Genomic DNA, 23,228 nt, shown 5'->3' with positions numbered 1-23,228 from the left:
AGTCCTTGCTCCAGTCATACAGATGAGGATTGGGCCCCATTTTCCTCACTCCTTTGTCTTGGTTCAGAATCAGAAGGGAAAGAGGCAATATTGATTTGTGTCTTCTCAAAATCCCAGTTATAAAAAGTGGTAGCTCTTATTGTTAGTATCATCATCATCATGCTTCTGAGGCAAATCGATGAACAACGAAAACTTAGGATTTTCATCTCTGTTGGTTTAGTCAGAGATGTTCCAATGGGTTTGGGCCATAATCCTGAAAGAATTCCTAATGCCACGATCCCAAATGTTGAAATCCCAAAAGACCAAAATCCCTAAAGTCTAAAATCTTGAAAATTATAATCCTGAAAGATAAAAATCTTGAAAATACAATTCTGGAAAAAATAATTTAAAAAAAAACTCTTTAGAATACATTTATTTACATTTTTAAAAGAGGATTTATTTGAGAAACATACAAGAACATGACAGAATACTTTATAATTTACTTTATGCAATTAAAATAGCCAATAATAGAATACATATTTTTGGAGCACAAACACTTAAGTGTGCTTAGGACAGTCACAAGGGTATAATAGTTACAAGCAGACAAGCCAGATTTATAGGGAAACAGGTCAAAAAGTGAATTGTATAAACACATATCACTATCGTTGGTAATTGTGTGCACCCAGCTTTATAATTGCAGTCACTGAAATATCATGATGGACAACCTAAGTCATTTGACAAGATAGTTAAAAAACCTCAGTGGGTCATCACCACAGCACAGGCAAGTTACCCAAAGAGCTGAGTTCTAGAATTTTACCTTTCACAAGTGCAAATGTACAAAAAGGACATCTCTCATTTATTGAGGAAGTTTCCACATTTTTACGTACACATATAATGCTTACGCACAAAGCCAACATTGTGATAATGCACCTTCATGGAGTCAAATCTTCAAAAAAAAATACATAAAATGAATTAGAACTCTTTAAAAAGCCTTTACACAATCTATACCTCCAGTATTGAAAATGATGCAAAGATGAAATATATAACATAGCAAATTGTAAAAGATAACACTGATAATTTTAAGTAGTGGTGGAAAAAAACTTTAAAAAAGAAAGAAAAGAAAAAACTAAAACAAAACAAAAAAGAAGCTTTGACATGAAAAAGTGTATTACAAGGACAGATTATGGGCAATTGCACGGAGACAGTCCATAAGAGCTGCCCAACTTTTACAATCATTAACTATGTTTTGAAGTCTTGCATCGAGATGAATAGCTACTTTTTTTTCTTTTAGGGCACGGCTCCCCATGGAGAATATGTTCACTTTCATTTTCTACATGGCACTGCTGTTTTTGAAATTCTTCTGTGATTTAATAGACCCCAACACGACGAGCATTCCCTATTCGATTTTTCCATCTTCTGTGCCGTGTTTCTATGTCACTTTGGGCACCCAGGTACCTATTTGGAATGCACTCATCTACAGGCCACATATTTGGCAGAAACAATACTGGTGATCAAACAGCACCATTGTTGCATAAGTGTCTTCTTATCCTATCATATACACAATTATTTTTGAGCCAGTCAGTAATGGCTGGCTTCTTCAGGTAAATGTAGCATTCATTCATTCAAAGCTCCTGGAATTTCATTAGATGGAAAGGATGCTAACGCAGACAAATGATGCATCTTTAAACCGAAGATTTTATCATTGCCATACTTCATGGCCAATCCATTATCAAGGTACAATAACCTTGGTAATTGTGTCAAGACAATAATAAGGTAATAGTTCCAGCTAACTTGATGGAACTAACATGATACAACTATCCTGTGTACAACCAAAAATGCATTAATCCCTCCTCCAGAATTTGGCTTTCAAATTTTCAATATTAGGGATTTTAATCTTTTGGGATTGTGATTTTCTGGATTTTAGATGTTAGGGCATTTAGACTCTAGAAATTGTGATCTTTAGCAATTATGCCTTTTGGGATTATAATTGGCATGAGTCCCAACACCACTGCAAATGGCCTCAAGATCAGCACCTGCTTCCCCTCCCCAACTCCTCACCATCCCTCACCCCTAAACACTCCATCCATCACTCCACACCACATATCTTCCGGGCTTCTTAGCGTATAAACTCTTCCTTCAGAAGCGGGGTACTGAGGTCACTTACAATACAGCAACAGGCTGTCATAAACAATGTTGAAATCTTCATTGTCCCACTGTCTGGGGCCAGGTCCTTGTTAGGTCGGTTTTGCAAAAGTCTGCCAAGTATCCAAGTGTCTAGCAGGAGGAAGGGGCTTACTCACTCTCTTGCAGACATTTCTACCTATCAAAGCCAGAGAACAATATGGCTATAGAGTCGTCACAAGGTATACGAGACTGTGTCTGTGTGAATATAGAAAAGTGAATATGTGTCTGCACAAGCCCAAATGTCTGCATCTGTCATGCCCATCTCTTTGACAACCCCCATGTGTCTCAGTTTCCAACTAAGGATCAACTGCTGGGTTTTTGTGAATTAGCAAGGAACCAGAGGGAAGAAATGATTGCCACAGAATGCCTATTAGCAAGGGACTTGGAGGGACAATCTGGTGAAGGGGGTTAGGGGGCTTGAGAATGTGTTTGCCTAATACTTCAGAAATCATTAAGGAAGAGGGCCAGGCACAGTGGCTCATGCCTGTAATCCCAGCACTTTGGGAGGCTGAGGCAGGTAGATCACTTGAGGCCAGGAGTTCAAGACCAGCCTGGCCAACATGGGGAAACCCTGTCTCTAGTAAAAATACGAAAGTTAAAATTAGCCAGGCATCATGGCAGGCACCTGTAGTCCCAGCTACTTGGGAGGCTGAGTCAGGAGAATGGCATGAACCCAGAAGGTGGAGCTTGCAGTGAGTGGAGATCACGCCACTGCACTCCAGCCTGGGCAACACAGCAAGACTCCATCTCAAAAAAAAAAAAAAAAACTACAAAAGTTAGCTGGGCATGGGGGTGCACACCTATAGTCCAGTTACACAGAAGGCTGAGGCACAAGAATTGCTTGAACCCGGGAGGCAGAGGTTGCAGTGAGCTGAGATCATGCCACTGCATTCCAGCCTGGGAGACAGAGCGAGAATTTGGGATTCTAGAGATTTTGGGGCAATCTAAAGCTTCCTAATGCCACATTGGCCCTTGGCACTGCCATGGCCTGGGAGACACTTTCGAGGGTCATTGCACACTGTCACTCCTAAAGTTTGCCTGTGTAAATGTGACGCACCATCCTCACTTGCTCCTTATAATTGGGTGCATCTCTGTGCTTTTTGCCATCTCTCAACTCCTAACATTTTCTTCATGCCATTCCTATAGATCTTAGATATGGGTGAGACTTTCAAGAGCAGGGATGGGTCTTGAGTCACCTCCGTAACCCAGCACCCAGCAGAGCCTGGCACAGGGTAGAAGCTCAGGAAATGCTGGGTATGGAAGAGATACATTTGGCTGTCTAGAGTGTACAGATTCTCTCCTAATTAACAACAACACACCATTTTAGACCCTCCCCAGAGGCTCTACAGTGAATCATCTGATAGTTCCTGTTGAAAGCTTGGCTAAACTATTAATGCTCCACAGAGGGGGAAAAAACAAACAAATATCTTATCAGGGTTTCTCAAGCATTTCCACCCTAAGAGGAGAGGAGGTGAAATCGTGTTCAATACAGGAGTTTCCAGACATAGCCTAAAGCATTCCCTACCCCACTACCCCACAGAATCACCACTTAAAGAGCTGACATCTCATTTCACCCTTGACTTTGTTGAGAGACGATAAAACAACCAGTAATACATGGAATGTTTGGATATTAAAAGAAATCACTGGTATTGTGGACATCATCCATTATGATGTCCAGTGCCCCCTTTTCTTTTGCTATAGGCAAACTCATAAAGAGATTAAGTGAATCCACATGGTCTGGAATGGAAGGAAGACCCTACATGCTTAGCCCAGCAGAAGTCAAGGAGGCCCCTGTTGTTCTCAAAGCCAGGGAGCATGGCCAGAAAACAGACAAGGGCAATACATGATCTGTGCAGCTGCAGAAACAGGTAAGAAGACCACCAACCCAGAGAAAGGAAAGAGGGCTTCCTGGAGAAAGTGACAACTAAGCTGAGAACATGAAGATTATATAGGAGTTCACTGAAGCAGGAAGCGGGGAGTATTAAAAAGTCTCGCACAGAGGAAATAGCATGGGAAAAGGCGAGAATGAGCATTACCTGTTTGGAAAAGAGGAAAGTAGTTCATTAGGTCTGAAACACAGAATATAAGGGGGGAGGGATGAAGGATGAGGAACGTTGAAAAAGTTTTTAGCCAAAAGCAACAAGATGACATTGAAGGGCTTCAATAGGGGAAATACTTAGCTAGATAGACATTTTCAAGATACTTCTCTGGCAACAATGTGGATAACAGATGGTGGGTGGGGCAGAGGGGATTTGGAGAGACCTAGGAAGACACTGTTCCTGTACTGGAGATGAGGTTGTAGTGGCTATGATGGTAGAGAGGGGATAAAGAGACGCAGATGGATCTGAAAGATATTTTAGAGGTAGAATGAGTAGGACTTGGTTGGGTGTGGGATTGAGAGGAAGGAGTCAAGGCCAGCTCCCAGCTTGTGATATTGGCAACAATACATTCACTGGGCCATGATTTACTATGGGCTGGGTCCCCATGCACTCTCTCAAGGACAGGACTTACACAGGGCTCTTCCTACACAGTGGGCCAAGCCTAATCTATCTCATCAGCTCTGTTTCAGTTCTCACATATCTGCCACTGGATGGATAAACAAATGGGCTTCTTTTGCAGATCTCTATTGGCTTTGTGGGAGGAGGTGATAGAAACCTGCTTAGGCTCCCAGGTCTGTCTTATACCCCAGGACAGCTAGCCAGAAAACCCTGCAAATGGTGGCAGAAATGGGGGCCAGTATGGAGAAGAAGGGGATGTGAGGTGCTTGTCCAACTATCACTAGAGTAGCATTTTGTTTCCATTCAGTGCTTAACCCTGGGGAATCAGGATCTCTCCATGGGGAATCCAAGAGGCACGAAGGAGTGAATGATGAAGACCAGGTTCCTAAGCCTTATTCTAAGCTCTTGTCTTTGTAACTCTAACATTGGCACATGGTAAACTCTAACATGAGCACATTGCCGGAATAAGCAATGAAGAAGGAAAGGTAAATACCCTTAAGCCACAGCAGAAAGATCTTCCCCAGTTTTCCCACTCAATCCTAAGAAGGGTTCCTACCCAGGGCCATTTTGAGCAGAATCCCTCTTGCAGCCTCCCAGAGAAAGTTCTAATTACACGGCTCCCTGGCTTCTATCTCTACAGAAGAATTCCTGATGAAGCCCTCAGGACTACATTCCTTGGATCCAATCCAAGCTCTTAGGAAAACTGGCACTTGGGGCAACCACTTAAAACTAGGAAGGCTGAGGGAGAAGTAGGTGGAAAGAAGGAGCACTGATTTGGAAGCCGACTACTGTGCCACACAACCCCAGCAGGCACTGTCTACACTGTATCTGTGTGAGAATAGCCCTTGGGTGTTGTGCGGTAGCCCAGGTGGAGAGTCAAGCAACCTGGTCCCACCTCTGAATGTTTAACCTGACTGCATCATTCCCCACACACACCACAAAACCTCAAGCCTTGCATTTATGACTCCAGCATACTTGATTCCTTTCACAGATTCCATATACCACCAATGTCCCATGCCTAAAACAATACACTGCTTCCCGGGCTTGAATTCACAACACGTATGTGATGTGTAATGAGAGGAAAAGTCCATAAGGAAAAAACAAATGTCAAAACTAAAGAGCCCAGGTAGTTTAATACCTAGGTGATGGGTTGACAGGGGCAGCAAACCACCATGGCACACATTTACCTATGTAACAAACTTGCACATCCTGCACATGTGCCCCAGAACTTAAAAAATAAATAAATAAAAATAAAATAAAATAAAATAAAAAAACTAAAGAACCCAGGCTTGACAAAGAAGCCAGAGAAAACCAGTGCAATGGCTGAGGGGATTTCCTGAAATACAAATGCACTCTGCTCTCCACCACATAGTCATAAACTCTGCCAGACCCAGGGCTTGGATGGCTCATCCCATCCCTCCCATAGTTAATGACTGTGTCCTCTGCTGAGTCTGCCAGGCCCCTACATGGCTCCTCCACTCCCCCGACCAGCGCTCCTTAATGACAAGCCCAGGCATCCTGGGCCCCTTTCCAGCCAGAGGGCTGCATTGTTGACATTTATCTTTGGACCACTCAATGACACGATTATAGCAGAAACAAAGAAAGCATACTTGTAGTAAACTTTGAACCAAAAAGGAGAAATTATTAAAAAGTTGGGTTTCTCTCCAGTGGCCTTAGCAGAAAGAAGCAAAAAGAAGGCGATATTTACGCATGGGCTTCAGTATATTTAATTCCCTCCCTGCCATCTCGCGGCTATGGACTTAATGGTGTCTCCCACAAAATTCATACATTGAATCCCTAACCTCCAATGCATTGGTATCTGAAGATGGGGACTTTGGGAGGTGATTAGGTCATGATGGTTGAGCATAAGAGACTTGAGAGAGATTATTTCTCTCTCAACACTGCATGAGGACGTAAGAGGAAGGCAGCATCTTTAAGCCAGGAAGCAAGCCCTCAACAGACACCAAATTTACCAGCACCTTGATCTTGGACTTCCCAACCTCCAGAACTGTGAGAAATAAATGTTTGGTTTTTTTTAAGCCATGCAGTCTATGGTATTTTGTTAAAGCAGCCCAAACTAACTATGACTCCCAACTCAGCCTGCTGGCCATGGACATGATGACTCTCCCCATCCCCCAGACTCCCAGGAGTTCCCTCATGCAGCCCCTATCTGAAGGACTCTAAGGCAAGAGAATTTTGAGACAAGTGGTAGGGGAATTAAATAAAAAGATAATCCAAGAAGAAAGGCTGGAGTGAAGCTGTTGCATAGCTTGTAGGTGCTGGTTAACAAGATTGGGCACCAATAGGTGTTATCTCCCCAGCAGAATGTTCACTCTGAGAAAAAAAGAACCATTCACTGTCTCATTCTCTGTAAAAACCCCAGTGCCCTGGTCAGTGTCTGGCACTATTTGTCAAATGAATAAATAAACGAGTGAATGAATCTCTTTCGGTCTCTATTGCAACCTTATAGAGGGTTGTTATACAGACTTGACAGATGAGAACACTGAGATTCTAGACGTCAGATAAATCCCAGGCAGAAAGTTGCAGACCTTGGACACAGATCTGACTCTATAGACACATAGGGAAGATGCAGATCATTGTCAATGTAATTCCATGAACTAGATCCATCAAAAAGAAAGCTCTTTTTCTTCAAAATGCTCAGGACACTTTGAGCTTGCTTTGTTTAGATTTTACTTCAAATATCTACTGTATTATATTTATAGCAATGTGAATCTCTTACTCTCTTTTTTGTCCCGTCATTTTACATGAGGTGTAGCACACTGATAGTATTTATTACACTTTACTGCAATAATTTTCTAACGCCTCATTAGACCATGAATTTTTATCTCAACATCTCCAGCACCTAGTAAAGTCCACTGCATGGATGGATGGATGGATGGATGAATACGTAAAACATCTTGCATTTTAAAATACTTTCATTTTCATTATCTCATGTAATCTTCATGTTATTTGAATTACTATTATTATTAACATTAAGTACACAAAATCCACTTAGAGGAAGAACAGTCTTTTGCAGGAAAATGCTTTGAGGTACTTGAGATAGTTGAGAATCACAAGAGCAGGAATGTTGATGCAGACGGCTTTAGGAAGGGGAAACTTTGCTACCTTGGGCAAGAGGCAAGGGGATGAATTTTCTGAGATCGGTGAAGAGTAGAGAAAATAGAGGATAAAGTAAGAGGATGCACAGATAGAGAAGGACTTAGACTTGATAAGGTGAGGAGACAGTGAGACTCTTCACGGTGGAGTGGAAAAAGGATATTTTATAGATGGTCTAATACCTTCTATCCTTCTGAAGCTGATCAAATGTCTGCCTTGTAAACCTCTCATCTCTCTTTCTCTTGACAAAACCAAGTGCCAAAAAAAGGCACTTTTGTCAATTCTACTAACCTTACCCTTGCTTCTTTACAAGTAGAACTCTCAAAAGGAACTGGGCTTCATGTGGGTTGACATGGTACAGAGCAGAGACTGCATTTGGAAACTGGAGAAGATTCATATATTTGGAGTATGTTTATGGGCTTTGGAAGGAGAGGGGATAGGTCTGAACTTCTTTTCCCACTATCTCACTGAAATGGAGGCCCTATTATCCATCTATTGTATACTCTGTGAAGAAACTGAGGCCTGGAGAGATTAAGTGCCTCGCCCAAGGTCACACAATTGGCAGTTGACAGAAATAGAACATAATTAAATTCAGGATACTTGACTTTAAATTCCTTGCTTCACTTGCATCTTGAGGCAATTTCACAAAGATTACTGTCACCATCAAAGGGGTGGGACATGAAGCTGGAATTATATTCAGGGAGCTTGTATTTTAGACAACATGAGCCAAGATTCAGCTCCCTGTTCTCCCTCATCACAGCAGACCCAGTTGCAGCTTTCCTGACTTCTATCTATAGACCCTGGAGAAAAGCAGTAAAATTCTGAGCCCACAGTCCCCTCAGTACAAGGGGAATGTGTCCCCAGAGCCCTCTAATGCCAGCTCTAACCTCAAAGAAATGCGAAGAAGGGGATGCCGGAAGGCTTGTTTGTGGCTTTGCAGACTATTCCCCAAGCGGGCCCAGAGTATGGCCAGTTGAGCAAACTTGGCAAACAGAGGCCTTCATTACATGTGTCAGAGGCACTCACACACATAGGCTTTATTAGGGACAGGCCCTGGGTGAGAGCAGGCCGGGATAGCATAGGAGAGTGTTTACCCACCTGTCTACCCATCCTCTCCACACCTGGGGCTCACACTAGCCAGGGCACAGGCCATGCTCAAGGAAGTGGCCAAGCAACTGCAGACATCCAGACTGCCTTCTGTCTAGCCCAGTCGTTACCATGTAAGAACTGGCTGGCTAGGCCTCAGGAGATGAGCTGCTAAAATTCTGCCCAGACTCCGCCAGGGCCTTCCCAATGCTCCTCCAGCTCCAACAGCACGCATAGTAGGTGTAGTGCTCAGCAAGTTCTTTGAAAGACTGATGAATGAATGAATCTATTTGGCTCCAACATGGAGTGATTTAGGAATTCTCATTCCTCCCATCCTATCCTCTTTCTCCAGCAGGTGTCTGAAATGAAGTGACTCCTCATTAAGATTTAAATATCTCTTAACTGGGGAAACACTAAAAAAAAATTTTTAAAAGAAGTAACTTACAACTGGAATGTCATTTAATCTTTATTAAGGACCTACTGTATGCCAAGTTATATATACCATCTCTAATTCTCACTGTAGCCCTACAAAATGGTTTTCGTAAATGTAGTCAAAAAGAATCAGATTAAAGTTAACTTGGGAGGAAAGTATTTAAACCTATGGGCTCAAAACCCATGCTTGGTCCACTATATTGTGTAGTATTTAAGGGAAGATTTGATGTGGGCCAAGAAAAGGAGAATCTTTGTTTGCTACAGGCTTACAAGGTGACAGGGACCCCACCTAGAAGGGGAAAAGATGAAGAGCTAGACTCCAAGGCACTCTTCACTTTCGAAGTATTTGTTGAGAGTTCAGGGAGCCCTTGAACTTACGGAAAACTGCATCTTTATTTCTACTAACTCTAACTGAAGAGTAGTCAATTATGATGTGGACCACAAACCACAATAGCATAAGCAGTTCCTGTGATGTTGCATGAATAGAAACCATAGATTTTTTTTTTATCACTTTACAGTTGGCAGAGCATCTCAAAATATCATTTGGACTCATTGCAACATTGAAAGTGTAGTAGTTATTAGCCAGGCGCAGTGGCACATGCCTGTAATCCTAGCACTTTGGGAGGCCATGGCAAGCAGCTTATTTGTGCCCAGGAGTTTGAGACCATCTTGGGCAACATGATGAAATCTCACCTCTACAAAAAATACAAAAATTAGCCAGGCATGGTGGCATGTGTGTACAGTTCCAGCTACTCAGGAGGTTGAGGCAGGAGGATCACTTGAGCCTGGAAAGCAGGGGCTGCAGTGAGCTGAGATAGCACCACTATACCCTAGCCTGGGCAACAGAGCAAGACCCTGTCTCAAAAAAAAAAGAAAAGAAAAAAAGAAAGTATAGTAGTTATTAGACCAACTGCTAATTCTTGTTATGTTAATATAAGAAACACCTATAGTACTGTATCCAAAAGTTGGAGTTTTTAATGTTCTTATTGCTGTGTTTCTATATAATGAATTTTTCTTTGTAATCCTATGTATTTTTTAGGATTTGTATTCTATTCTAAGAAGGGTCTCTGGGCTGCAACAAACTGCCAAAGTACCCATGCATGAAAAAGCTAAGAACCTTTGGTTTAGAAGTCAAAGGTAATGGCTTGTCTATTTTACAATTTTACCTAACCCCCTACAATCTATGTTTTATTAAATGAAGTCTTTGGCCATTGATTAATTACCTGGGAGGCTTGTTCAAATACAGTTGTCCAGGTCCCACATCCAAATTACAAAAGTAGAATCTTGGGATTGGAACCTGGGAATCTTTCTTCATCTGGCTCCCAGTAAAGGTGTCCCATATGGTGCCCCTGAGTGGAAGTAGCCTCCTGGGCAGCGTGGCTTGGAGTGGACTGGACCCCCTTGGCCAGGTGGAACAACCTGCACAGCTTCACCTGGGGACTCTGATCCTTCAGGCGATTTCCAATGCTCTCTAAAGCTTCTCAATGAAGGAGAAGAGGATTAAAATTAAGGTAGAAACTGGCAGGACTTATTTTCTGGTCATAACCCTGTGGACCAAAACAGGATTTGGTCCAGACAGGTTAAAGTGAAAAAAAAAAAAAAAAAAAAAAAAACGGTACAAATCAGCAGATGGTGATGAAAGTGATCCCTAGCTCCCCTCATTGCTCATTAACATAAGACACTCCCACAGTTTACAAATGCCATAGCAATGACCCAGAAGTTATTGCCCCTTTCAGAGAAAGTTCTAAATAGTTTCCCTTAACTTGCATATAATTAAAAGTGGGTTTAAGTGAGTATAAATACAGTTGCCAAGAGCCCATTTGTCTTTTATTGTTGTTGTTTGTTTGTTTGTTTGTTTTTGAGATGGAGTCTCACTCTGTCACCCAGGCTGGAGTGCAGTGGCAGGATCTTGCCTCACTGCAACCTCCACCTCCTGAGTTCAAGCTATTCTCCTGCCTCAGCCTCCCAAGTAGCTAGGATTATAGGTGCCCGTCACCACACCTGGCTAATTTTTTGTATTTTTAGTAGAGACAGGGTTTCACCATGTTGGTCAGGTTGGTCTCAAACTCCTGACCTCAAGTGATCCTCCTGCCTCAACCTCCCAAATTGCTGGGATTACAGGTATGGGCCACCACACCTGGCCCCTCAAGACCCCATTTGTTGCCAACTCTGGGTGCACTGCCTATGAGTTAGCCCTGGTCTGTAGGGAGGAGTACTGTTTAATCAAAAGAACCCTCTCAGACAAAGTCCCAATTTTGGAGCTCACCTGCCCTGTATCGTCATCACTGATTTGGGTTTTTGAGTTCTAGTTACTTATAACTGTGGTAACAAATTATCACAAACTAAGATGGCTTAAAACAATAGGAATTTTCCCCTCACAGTTCTGGAGACCAGAAGTCCAAAATCAAAATGTCAGCAGTATTGGATCCTTCCAGTGGCTCTAAGGAGAGCTTCCATGCTTCTCTCCTATCTTCTAGAGGTCACTGGCAATCCTTGGGATGCCTTAGCTAGCAAATGCATCCCTACAATCTCTGTGTGCATCTTCACACGATGTTCTTCCCTATGTGGCTCTATGTGTGTCCAAATTTCCCTCTTTTTATAAGGACACCCATCATAACGGATTTGGGACCCACATTAATCCAGTATGACCTCAACTTCACCTGGTTACATCTGCAAAGACTCTATTTCCAAATAAAGTCACTTTCATAGGTTCCAGGTGCACACAAATTTTGGGTAAACACTATTCAACCCAGAATAGTATGCATCGCTGACCTCCATCCCATCCCCAGGAAAGAACTATTAGAGAAGTAAAGCATTGGTTCTCAAAATGTGGTGCCTGCAGCAGCCTCACCTGGGAACTTGTTAGAAATGCTAATGATCAGGAATCTAGTATCAGAATTTTGGAGGTGGAGCCCAGTGATATGCATTTTAACAAGTCCTCCAGAAAATTCTCATGCCTATTCAAATTTGAGAACCTTGAAAATATGGGCGATCTTCCCTTCCAGTCGAATCGTCCATTCATTCAACAAACGTAGAGGAGAGTGCATCAGCTGCTGGGAATGCAGCCAGGTTCAAGTCACAGTCTTTACCTACTCAGAACTTAAACTCCAGTGGAAAGATCAGAGCACAAGGATTCATATGTCCCTGGCAGTAATCCTTTGTGACCCACAAAAATGGCAATTTCACATGGCTTGCCCTAAACAAAGCACAAGGTTTCCAGGTGCACCACGGAAGTCTCCCAGAGAATGTGCTCACATGTCCTGAGATTGAAGAATGACTCAGGAAAGGCTCAATGAACAACTGAGGGAGGGAAATCCAGAAGAGGAAACCACACATGCAAACACTAGGATGTGTGGGAACCAGAGCCCAGGCTTCCACAGGCTCTGTAAATCCAGGCTGACCTTACCCTGGCTTCTGCCTTTGCCATGACTACTTCATAGTCACCTTAGTCTCATCTAGGGGAAGTTGCATCTAGACACCAAGATAGTGAAGCCCCCAAGCAGGTTCTGCCATAGTTATGATGTATCCTCTTAGTCCATGAGCACTGAGCTGACCTCTCCATCAGGCAGGTGGGCACAGTGCGTAGGGGCTCCCTTTCAGGGGCGCATGAAAATGTTCTCATTTCCTTAAAATCCAAAGGAAAGACAAATGAACTGATGAAGTTGAATAAAATGTTTTAATTTTATTTTTCAGAAAAAAAATGAAATGTTTAAGGCCCCCCAAAATCCATTAAATTATTTTCATATGCTTTTATGGAGGAAGGCGCCCATGAAGACAAATGCACCTCAAACTTACGGAAGTCATGATGTGGCTGTGAACAAGAAAGCTTCTGAACAGTTTGGGTGAGAGGCCAGGGTCCCTTGGGTCAGCTTCTGGGACTTCATGAATACTCAGCACAAAGGGTGGGGGGCCCCAAGAGATCCCTTCGTCCCAAGGCTTCCAAGGGTCTCCACCAACTAGATGTTCCAGCCCAATCTCTCCCATGCTCCCATGGGTCTCCTGGATACTTCTTTCCCACTGGAAATGGAGGAGGCAGCCATCAAAGAAGAAAGGTAGAGACAGGAGCAGAAAGAAGGGGTTCTGAAACCCTGAGGGTGGGGGGTTTCTGAGAAAGAGTCAGTCACCAGCAGCTTGAGAAGTGGGAAGGGAGCCTTGAAAAGTCCCCTAAACCTGAACAGAGTCCAAGCTCTGCCTCATGGGCACTGTGTCACCTGAGCAAGGTACTCCACTGCCCCAAAGCTCAGTCTTCTGTAAAATGCTGTGACTTCTCTGTTATCACCAAACACTTCTCATTAGGTATTAAATAAACTTCACCCAACTATTTATTGTGAGAATTCCGTGAGATATCACTAGTGCACATAGCTCAGGTCAAGTGCATAGTAGGTACACAGAAAGTAGGTACACAGAAAGAGTTCATTTCCTCTTCCATTGTCAATCTATATCAAGAGAATGTCACTTGGTTGCCTTCACCTTTTTATTTCAGAGGTATAGGAAGGCCCCTGAGCCTAAAGATTATCTTACTTTTTACTAAGCAGCACTTTGCCTGATATCAGCTATGTTTCTCCACTTATCATGATTAATATGGAATAGGCTCTCAGTAAAGACTGTCTCCCTTCTCCCTGCCACCACTGCAAGGTAGCAAAGTAAGGTGACCTCAAGCTATCCTTCAAGCTGACAAAAATTTCTGCCTCCAGTTTTATGAGGCCTCTGGAACAAATGGTTTTTGGCCTGTGAGCTCTGTGATTCAGGAACTTCATGTAGTTTCATAACTTGACATTGCAAATCAGACCATATCTCTGTCCCCCTCACCCCTGCCCAAGTTTTAAACTCACCAAACTTCTCATTCGCCCTAAAAAAGAATTTGAAATGTTGCCAGTCTAGGACACTCAACTGTCTTTCCTCGTCATCCCCCATCCCTACTGCTTGCTCCCACCACTGTAGCCACATCAGCCACTGATTGTTCAAGCTTGTCTTGGGCTTTTGCATGCCTGCATGGAATGCTCTTTTCCCTACTGTCCTCTGCCTCCCTGATTCAAGCCACTTGAGTCTTTTCTCAACTGTTGTTTCCTTAAACAGATCTTCTCTGACCTTCTCCCACCCATCCCCTCAACACACAAGGGTCATTCTCTATATCCTCACCACCATCACCTCCCATTTCACATACATGATGAAATAAGGGTATACTTGATGATGTGATTGCAAATCAAATCAGAGTATCCTAAATATGAGAGCGCAGCGACTTCTCTGTGCATCATTCACCAGTACTTAATATGCATCATAAATAGAGATCGCTCTCTTTTAATAGCAGGTCAGCTGAGTTCTTCCTGCAAATTCTTCGGTCCTTTTCATAAAGTTCCAGGTGGAAGAATTCCTTCAGGTATCAGGATATAGGCCTATACATACCACAAGGATATACTGGGTGCTGTTCTTTTTCTCATTTTCACTTCATACACTTTCCCTGGTCAATTTGAGCATCTCTAGCCTTGAGAAGAGATGGGACTGAGAAAACAAAAACCAGGCGATGTGTAACTTTTTTTATTTCCAAAATAGTTTCTTGAGATTCAAAAAGGAAGGTGTTAGGGCAGAAAAGTGCAGAGTTTAAGCTATAGCCATAAAAAACTGGAAAGAGCATGGGAGGAAAGACAAGCTCATTCCTGTGTCACCTGGCCTGACAGGGGAACAACTAGACCAGAGGTATGACGTTACAGGAGATGGGAATTGGGTGAGGAGCACTGGAATGAAGAGGGCCAAAGCTGGCTTAAATAGGGAGAGTGGGGAAGCCATAGGAATCTGCTGGTCAGTGCCTGGAAGGCTTCCAACCATATAAATGCAGGTTATAGTCTACCCCATATAAATGAGCACTCCAAGTCAACTGGGTAAAGAAGCCAGCTTAGCTATATATATCTATATATCACCTGCGACTTGCTCATAGATCATACAGAAGAAAGTCATCTGCTGTGACTTGAGATTTATCTAAGCCCCATCAAACTCTTCTTGTAGCATACCCCCATTTTCTCAGTGACCTGAGACACTTATAAACCTCACAGAAACCAAGGGTAGGATGGGAGAGAAAGCCCCCGAAATGGGCCCTAATAAAGGCTGGGCAATGGGGAAATACACTCTTGTTAAAACGTAGAAAATGTTCAAGTCACCCTATCTATTATAGTCAAGATTTTGGTATCCAGAGTGAGCAATACCAAATCTGCAGTCCTCCTGGTTACATCTTGACACCACTGAGTCACACACTGCACATGCCCAAGATGCATGCATGGGTCTACTATGGACATGCAACGTGAAGGCCAGTTGGCCTGGGCTGGTAAAGGAAGCTTGGTCTTCTCAGCCTCTCTGAAATCTCCGCCTTTTACAACTATCCAGTTAACCAAGTATTTTTGGATGCCTACTGGGTGCCCAGTTGCTGAGGATACAGAGATAAGCAAACTACAGCCCCTGTCCTCAAGGGTGGAGAAGCTATAGGCAACTTCACAGAGCTCACAGTCCTCCACAAATAGCCATGTTTTGAGAGCCAACTCCAGGTCGGGCTCCATGCTAAGTGCCTGACATGGGACATATCACTTAATCCTTAAAATATTCCAGTGAGAAACTGAGCCTCAGAGTGTGTCAGTAATTTGCTCAAGGTCACGCAGCTGGAGTGATGATAAGCTTATGGAGAAGTGGTTCGACCTCTTCTTGCCAGAGGAGATATAAAGAATTAAAAAGTCATTTTCTCCTTTTCTGAACCAATAGCCAAGGAAAACATTTAATATAACTTCTGTTTTTGTTTGATTGATTTGGTTTGGTGCTTTTCTTTCTTTTCTTGTCTTTGTTTCTTTTTCTTTCTCTCAGGAGAGGGGAGGTGGCTCTCACCTGTAAGGTGAAGTGTGGTGAGGTGCAGTGTCTCACCTGTAATCCCAGGACTTTGGGAGGCTGAGGTGGGAGGACCACTGGAGGCCAGGAGTTTGAGACAAGCCTGGGCAACAGAGTGAGACCCCATCTCTTAAAAAAAAATAAATTAGCCAGGCGTGGTGGCACGTGCCTATAGTCCCAGCTACCCAGGAGGCTGAGGTGAGCGGATCGCTTGAGCCCAGGAGGTTGAGGCTGCAGTGAACCAAGAATGCACCACTGCATTCCAGCGTGGGCAACAGAGCAAGACCCTGTCCTCAAATAAAAAATAAATAATACATAATTTAAAAAAAGAAAGACAGAGGAGAGGTGACTCAAACTGAGATGTTATGTGTTTTCCTTGAGATTGGGGAAGAAACCGTGGTTTAAAAGTCTCTGATAGTGGAGACCTACGGCACCAGATAGTGGATAATGAAGCTTGGGCCTAGGGATAACACAAGGTCACAAGCTGTGGGAGCCTCTTCCCAGACCCCCTGGCCCAGGGTTGGGATAGAGGAAGATGAGGAGCCCCTTCAAAATGGTACTTTGCAGGCAATGAGCAATTATTTCTTCATAGTGGACCCAAGGCCAGGAAGGTGCCTTTAGATCTTGCTGAATTACCTAATTCCCAGGGCTTCCTTATGCCCCCAAAAAAGAAAGAAAGAACCCCTCACTGCCCCCCCTGCCCCATCAAAAAAGACATAACTAAGAATGGGTTGCCTGCCAGCCCTGGCAGGTGGAGAACGAAGCCAGATTTATTTGCTTTAGAAAAATAAAGAAAACGTGACGCTGCTCACACCCAAGTGTCTCAGAGCAAATCCGCACAGGTTCCAGCTGGTGCTGGGAATTTCATGCACCCAACCTCCCTCAAAAGAACACAGGGCTTCGTGGGCCTCTGCCCCATTAAAGAACGACTCTTTCCCCACTAAAACCATCACTTCTGGCTCGGCATTGATGAAGGCACAACGCAGCTGGCGAAAGTACAATAATTAACTCGAGCGCTCCTGAAAGACGATCACAATAATTTATATTTCTCCACCGCCCTCCATCCCCCTACGAGCTTTCCAGATTTTATGGCCATGACTCACCTCCGCTACCGCTGTGGGGCAGCTCCAAGGGAGCGGGCTCACTCACACCACACCGCAGTTTAGGCAGAATATTAAAAAAAAAAAAAAAAAAAACCAGCTAATTACAAGTGAAATGCTCCCTGTCACAAGCAGGCCAGCTGACTTCATGCCTGGGCGGCAGAACGCAGAACTGCGATAAAACTCCCAAGTTGGTCCTTATATTTTTTAAAAGTCAGATTGCTCAGCCATGATCTCACAGCCCTGCACCCCAGCCAGTGGCCCTGAGCCAGTCTTTGAAATATGACCTCAGACAAGGCTGGTGACGGAGTGGCCCTTTCTGGCAGGGTTCATCTTAAGTCAGTTTTCCTATAAGGCCTCGTCCTTCTTGGGCTGCCTGAGAAGGCCCGTGTGCCCCCTCCATACTCCCCAGCACCAAATACTTGCTTGACCCAATGGCGAGGCCACCTACAGTCTGATGGCAGTGCCACACTTTCTCCCGGCAATCCACCCTTCTCTCTACTCCTGCACATTTCTGTCTGTACTAGACACTTGGCTCTTATCCACACTCACTCCTGTAGTGTGATTCAACTCCATTCAATCAGCAAATGTCTACTTGCAGGCATGATAGCATCGTGGCTGAGAACACAGCATTTGAATTAAGAAATAATATGGCTTTGTATTCCACATCTCTCCATTACTAGCTGCATGAACGTGGGCAAGTAATTTAATCTGAGCCTCATTTTCTCATTTGTAAAGAGAAGGAAAATGACATGTACCCCACGTGGCTCTTGATGTAGGAATCAATGCATGACACAATGGTGAAGGCCACAAATTGTAGATTACACCCTACCAGCAACAATGACGGTCTTCTGGGTGGAGTGGACATTCATGCAGGAATCCTTTACATTTCAAAGCAGTGCTCTGGTTCAGTGATCCAGATGACTAATGTTTTCTGATGCTTCCAGGCTTTAGGGTCCTGAAATTCCTTTGGAAGACATTCTGGGGACTCTTTCGTATCTGTACATGACCAAAATGTTCCATGAAGATAATGTAAGAAAGAAGAGAGAGTCCTAGCATCAGCTCATACTCTCAAATTATATCATTTTCCTTTGGGAGTTAATAGAGAGGGCACTGCAATCCAGCTTCCCAGATTCTCCCAGTTCAGCCTTACTTGATGTATAAGAACTCAGGAGTCTGCCTGGTATGGAAGACTGACCAAGCACTAGATTTGCAGCCAGGAACTCTGGATTTAAGTCCCAGCTCTGCCACTTTCTAACTGTGCGATCTTCAGGAAGTCATTCACCCTCTGTGAGTCCCATTTTCTTTCTCTGTATACAAAGTCTCTCATCCATGCTCACTGTGAGGATCATATATAAAAATGGGAGAAAGAGCACGTTATGTAATACTAAGTAGGAGAAACAAACTGTCTGGTAGCACGTACTCCCCTGCAAAGAAATCACCACCTGCCTCAGTATCTCTATTTAAATCAACAATTGCTGTGCTAGGCATCGAACCAGAGGAACTAAAAGGAAGGATTTTAGCATTCTTCCCCAAGAATCTCTCAGACAGGATGAGAAATCTATCCCAGATGCCATCTGGGTTCCCCCAAGCCACTCTGCAAAAGAAATGGCATTGAACTCATCAGAAACTACACTCGTCACCTTTCATGGGAACCAAGGCATCTCCACAGTCCCTGCAGGCAGCTGACAGGTGGGCTCTTCATGTTTCTTTGGCCCACCCACTCCTAGGTCACCTGGGATGCCACCGACCCATGAGTCAATGTTTTCTCTGGTTCTACAGAAATTCTTCTTGCTTCAAGAATTTTATCTTTACTGAAGATTTGGAGAATCCCAGGAAGAAGGAACATTAAGCGGGACACATCATATTTTGCCATCTCCCTGGTTGCTCCTCCATCCCCTGCCACTCAAGTGCAACCACAGACACCCACTTGGGTTGTGTCAGGTGTCCTCATCTCAGCTCTACCGGACTCAGCATCTGCTGCTGGAGAGAACTCACATTCTCGACAAACATGGCTGACATTCTCATGTCAGGGTCTAAAAAAGTAAAGCTCCCTCAGTAATATCACAAAAAAAATCAAGAACTCCTAGAGTATCAATCTGAATGTAAGTATCATGCAAAAGGTGTAAGATCAGGGGTACAAATTGCAGAGGTGATATCGAGTTCCCAGCTGATTGTGGCATCAGGGACTACCTCTTAACTGGGTGTTGAAGAGCAGGGCAAATCCAGCATCCTCAACAGCAGGAACAGCATGAGCAAAAGCTCAGAGGCAGGGAGACACCAGATACGTTCAGGGAGCAGTGAGTGGACAAGCTGGCTGCTGCCTGGCAGATGGAAGCTACGAAGGTAGAGAGGGCCAGTAGCAGAGAGCTCAAAATGCCAGCAAAAGGGGTCCGCACTATTTTCTCCTAGAGTCCTTCTATTTTTCAGCTGGATCTCTGAGTATGCCAGATGGAGTGTGAAGAGGAGAAGCAGGAGTCAGAGATACCGATGAGGAAGTTACACCAACCACCCCAAAATGCAAAGTAAGGACCTAGAACTGGAAGCGGGGCAGGAGTAAAGGAAAGAAAATGATGGGAGTTGGAGAAAACAAAACACAGGACCTGGGAGACCTGGCTTCTGAGTAGAGGAATAGGATAAGAAAAAGGAAAAGCAAAGGCAAACCTGGGGTTTCAAGCCTAAGTAGGGAGAGAAATGCGGACATTGGGAAGGTATCAGTTTGAGGAGAGAAAAGATGAATCCTGATATGTGGCAGTAGGAAGGCTGGAGAGAACCTTTCTCCCACATCCTCTGCTGACTCCTAAAGGCCTATGCTCAGGACCTTGATCAAGACCAAAACCAGTGGCCAAGACTCCCTTGAAGCTGACCAGGTGGCCAGGGCCATGGGTCCAATGCGCCTTGTGGATCCCCTGAGGCTGATCCTGGCTTTCTCACTAATCAGTACTTAGTCCATCACCCTCTTGTCATAGAAGATGGATCATCCCATTCTGTCCTCCACAACCCTTTGGAGTGGGCATTCTCACCTTCCTTGCCTTTCCCGGAAGGGAGGTGAGACTATGAAAGTCGAGACTCAGCGTAGGTCACACACCAGCAAGCAGCAGCCAGCTCAAACGCAGGCCCTGGGAGACCGCATTCACACCACTGCACACAAAGCACACAATGGGTGAAGTCCAAGGGCAAAAGGAGTGAAACCTGAGGCTGGTCCAGAGTTGAAAATCCTGAGTGTAATTGCTGTCCAGAAATCATGAAGTTTGTGTTGATTTCTTATGATGCTTAGATAAGGCTCTGGACCAGGCTCCTTGGAAGAAGCAAAGAAGTATTAGTGGAGATCTCTGCCCACGAAGCACTTGCAACTTCACAGGGCAGATGAGACTCACAGAAACAAACACTAGCATGATAAGTACATGATTCTCTTGTTTTATTTTCTTCATATCACCTATCACTAGCCTAATGTGCCCAATTTAGCTGTTTGTATGTTTATTGTGTCTTTCCCCATTGGGAACAAATGGCAGCTATTTGCTAATAAATCCCCAATGTCCGGAAAAGTACCCAACCCCTAAAAATCATGCATACCCAAATCCTTGTCTCAGGCTCTGCATCCAGGCAACCAGATCTAAACCAGACTCCAATGCCAAGTCAGCCAAGGGATCTGCCCCATCAATGTCCAGACCTCAATCTCAGGTCGTGCCAATTCAGGGTGAGAAAAAAAGTCCCACGTGCTGAGAGAAGCAGGAGAGACCAGTGGGCATTTAGGAAATATTTGTTGAATGAATGACAAGGAGTTGGGTCAGGCAGGAAAGTGGAAGAGAAGCTGATAGAAGCAAAAGACAACTGTGGGCTAAGACTTCCCAGAGAGGAGGGGTAGGAAGAATTTGATAGCCAAGAAGTGAGAGGTAGAGTAAAGGTGGCCTCTGGGAGGAGAGCACCACTTCACTTCTCCTTTTCTCTATCCATTCCCTACCAAGACTGCACTCAATCCCTTCTCATCCACCCTATTCCACCCACAAAGGGGAGAAACGCTTATGATAGATGAGATGGAGCATTCACTGGGCATGTCTAAAAGGCCAGGAATAAATAATGCATGTCTCTTCAACTCTCTTGCTTCCATAGTTGCTGGGGCCTAAAGACATGCTCTCCTGCATCTCTGGGCTATTGGTTTTCTTATGAACCTGGAGCCCAGCTCCATCAGAGAAGGTCATCTTTCTTTCTGTTTGACACTCTCCATCCCATTTTGATATACTTTTTTTCTTGAGCCTGCCAAGAGGCACAAGCCTGTGACTCTCTCCACCAGAGGAGCTCCAGCAAATCTGGATCAAGTAGTATAGAACAGCACTGTGGCAAGCGTCTGCTGCTGTAGTCTCTCCTGCTTCTCTCAGTGCATGGGATCTTTCCTCACCCTGCAGTGGCAAGACCTGAGACTGAGGTCTGGACATTGATGGGCAGATCCCTTGGCTGACTTGGCATTGGAGTCCGGTTTAGATCTGGTTCCCTGAATGCAGAGCCTGAGACAAGGATGTGGGTATGCATGATTTATTGTGGAAGTGAGGAAAGCAGGACAGGAAAGGGAGGAACTAGGCCAAAATGTGGTCCCAGCTGGGATCCAGCTTAAGCCTTATCCCACAGGGAGCTCCGGGGCATGGCTTGTATGGTCTGGTTTGCATGGCTTATATGACATGGCAAAGTTGGTCTGACTTTGAAACAAGGGGTGTCCTCTCATATCTCCTATTGGTTAGTCATTGGATGCAGGCTGCAGGGGACAGTTGTGAGGGGCATGTATGTTTCCAGTGAAGTGTCTCCTATTGCTGAAGAAGTCCTGTGGGTGAAATCTCTAGAGAAGGCAGGAGCTGTGAGTTTTTAGTAGGCCCCACTCAGAGCAGCAGGAGTGTGGGGGCACCGGCCCAGTAACAGGGTCTGGGTGGGGATGTCACCAGCATCCTCCCCAGACTCCTTCAGGGCCACTTAGCTTAAGAAAAGGAAATCTCCGTGAGATAGAGCCTGGATGTGCTGTAGTTTGCAGGACGGTTTGGAGTTAGGTCTCAGCTAATAATTCAAGGTTGCTTTGTCTTGTTTTGTTCCATAGACATTTATGTCCATAGAGACCTCTCCTGGATGCACTCAAATACACGTGGACCCTTGAACTGACGCGCTTAGTCTCATCCCCACCTTTGGCATCATTAGAAGCACCTCCTTTTGACATCACTTCTCTGAGAGATAATCCTGAAGAAGATAAAAGGACAAATATGTTCTCTACTGTTTATGAAATCCATTTTCATAAGACTGGAGTAGAAGTTGAATGGACTAGACAGGTTTTTCTCTGGGAGCCTTTTCCAGAATAGATCCTAAGCATAGGCGCATGTGGAGACCTCAATTACAATGAAAGAAAAGATGTACCAAATATTTTCCTTTGGGGAGGTTGATTTTTAAGTGAAAACTCCTTAACCTTTCAGCTAAACTCCATAAATTGATTGCAAATGCCCCATTCAAAAAAACACAAAAACCTATGGAGGGAACTGGCACATATTTCTATCCCCAGTATGCCGTTTCAGCCACCCTGTCAGGTCATGTTGGTCCAAATAAGGAGGAAAAAAAATGCAGCATCTTTGAAAAGAAAGCTGAGAAGGCGAAGGTGGCCTGGGAAAAAAAGGCTGAGGTAGAGGAAGGAAATGGGGGATAATTACAAATGACAGGAGTTTCCAAAGAAAGAGATTAAGATAGCAGAATTCTGTACAGGAGTGGGTGGGACACAGGGGCAAGGGAGAGGTGGGGAAGCCGAGGTGGCATGTGGGGAGTAGGAAGCGGGTACCTGGAGAAGGGAAGGGGTCCTGACCTGGAGGGAGGGAAGTCTGATAAAGATTATGCTGCCACTCCAGGGGTTCAAACGTAAATTGCAGGTTGGTGTAGAGAGCAAATGAGGCCACGTGGTGGCTCATGCCTGTAATCCCGGCATTTTGGGAGGCCGAGGTGTGCA

At 44.3% G+C, this 23,228-nt stretch overlaps 1 long non-coding RNA gene across 1 annotated transcript, besides 1 other annotated feature; it reads right to left on the bottom strand.

Annotated features, from left to right (window-relative positions):
* Positions 1-414: 414 nt before the first annotated feature.
* Positions 415-23,228, bottom strand: LOC124903006 (uncharacterized). The gene is made up of 2 exons (XR_007063439.1): positions 18,093-23,228; positions 415-2,299 (listed from the first exon to the last, which is right to left on the bottom strand). It is a non-coding gene; the product is annotated as an uncharacterized LOC124903006 (long non-coding RNA).
* Positions 17,374-18,153: an enhancer, noted in NCBI's record as "H3K27ac-H3K4me1 hESC enhancer chr12:105955477-105956256 (GRCh37/hg19 assembly coordinates)". NCBI's record gives its function as "activates a minimal SCP1, AML or CMV promoter by ChIP-STARR-seq in naive H9 embryonic stem cells {active_cell/tissue: H9 hESC(naive)}" and the evidence as "EXISTENCE:reporter gene assay evidence [ECO:0000049][PMID:30033119]".

The sequence above is a fragment of the Homo sapiens genome, chromosome 12 (genome assembly GCF_000001405.40).
Source record: "Homo sapiens chromosome 12, GRCh38.p14 Primary Assembly".
Classification (NCBI taxonomy): domain Eukaryota; kingdom Metazoa; phylum Chordata; class Mammalia; order Primates; family Hominidae; genus Homo; species Homo sapiens.
The sequence above is the reverse complement of the archived record's forward strand: the minus strand, read 5'-3'. Positions and strand labels throughout refer to the sequence as shown.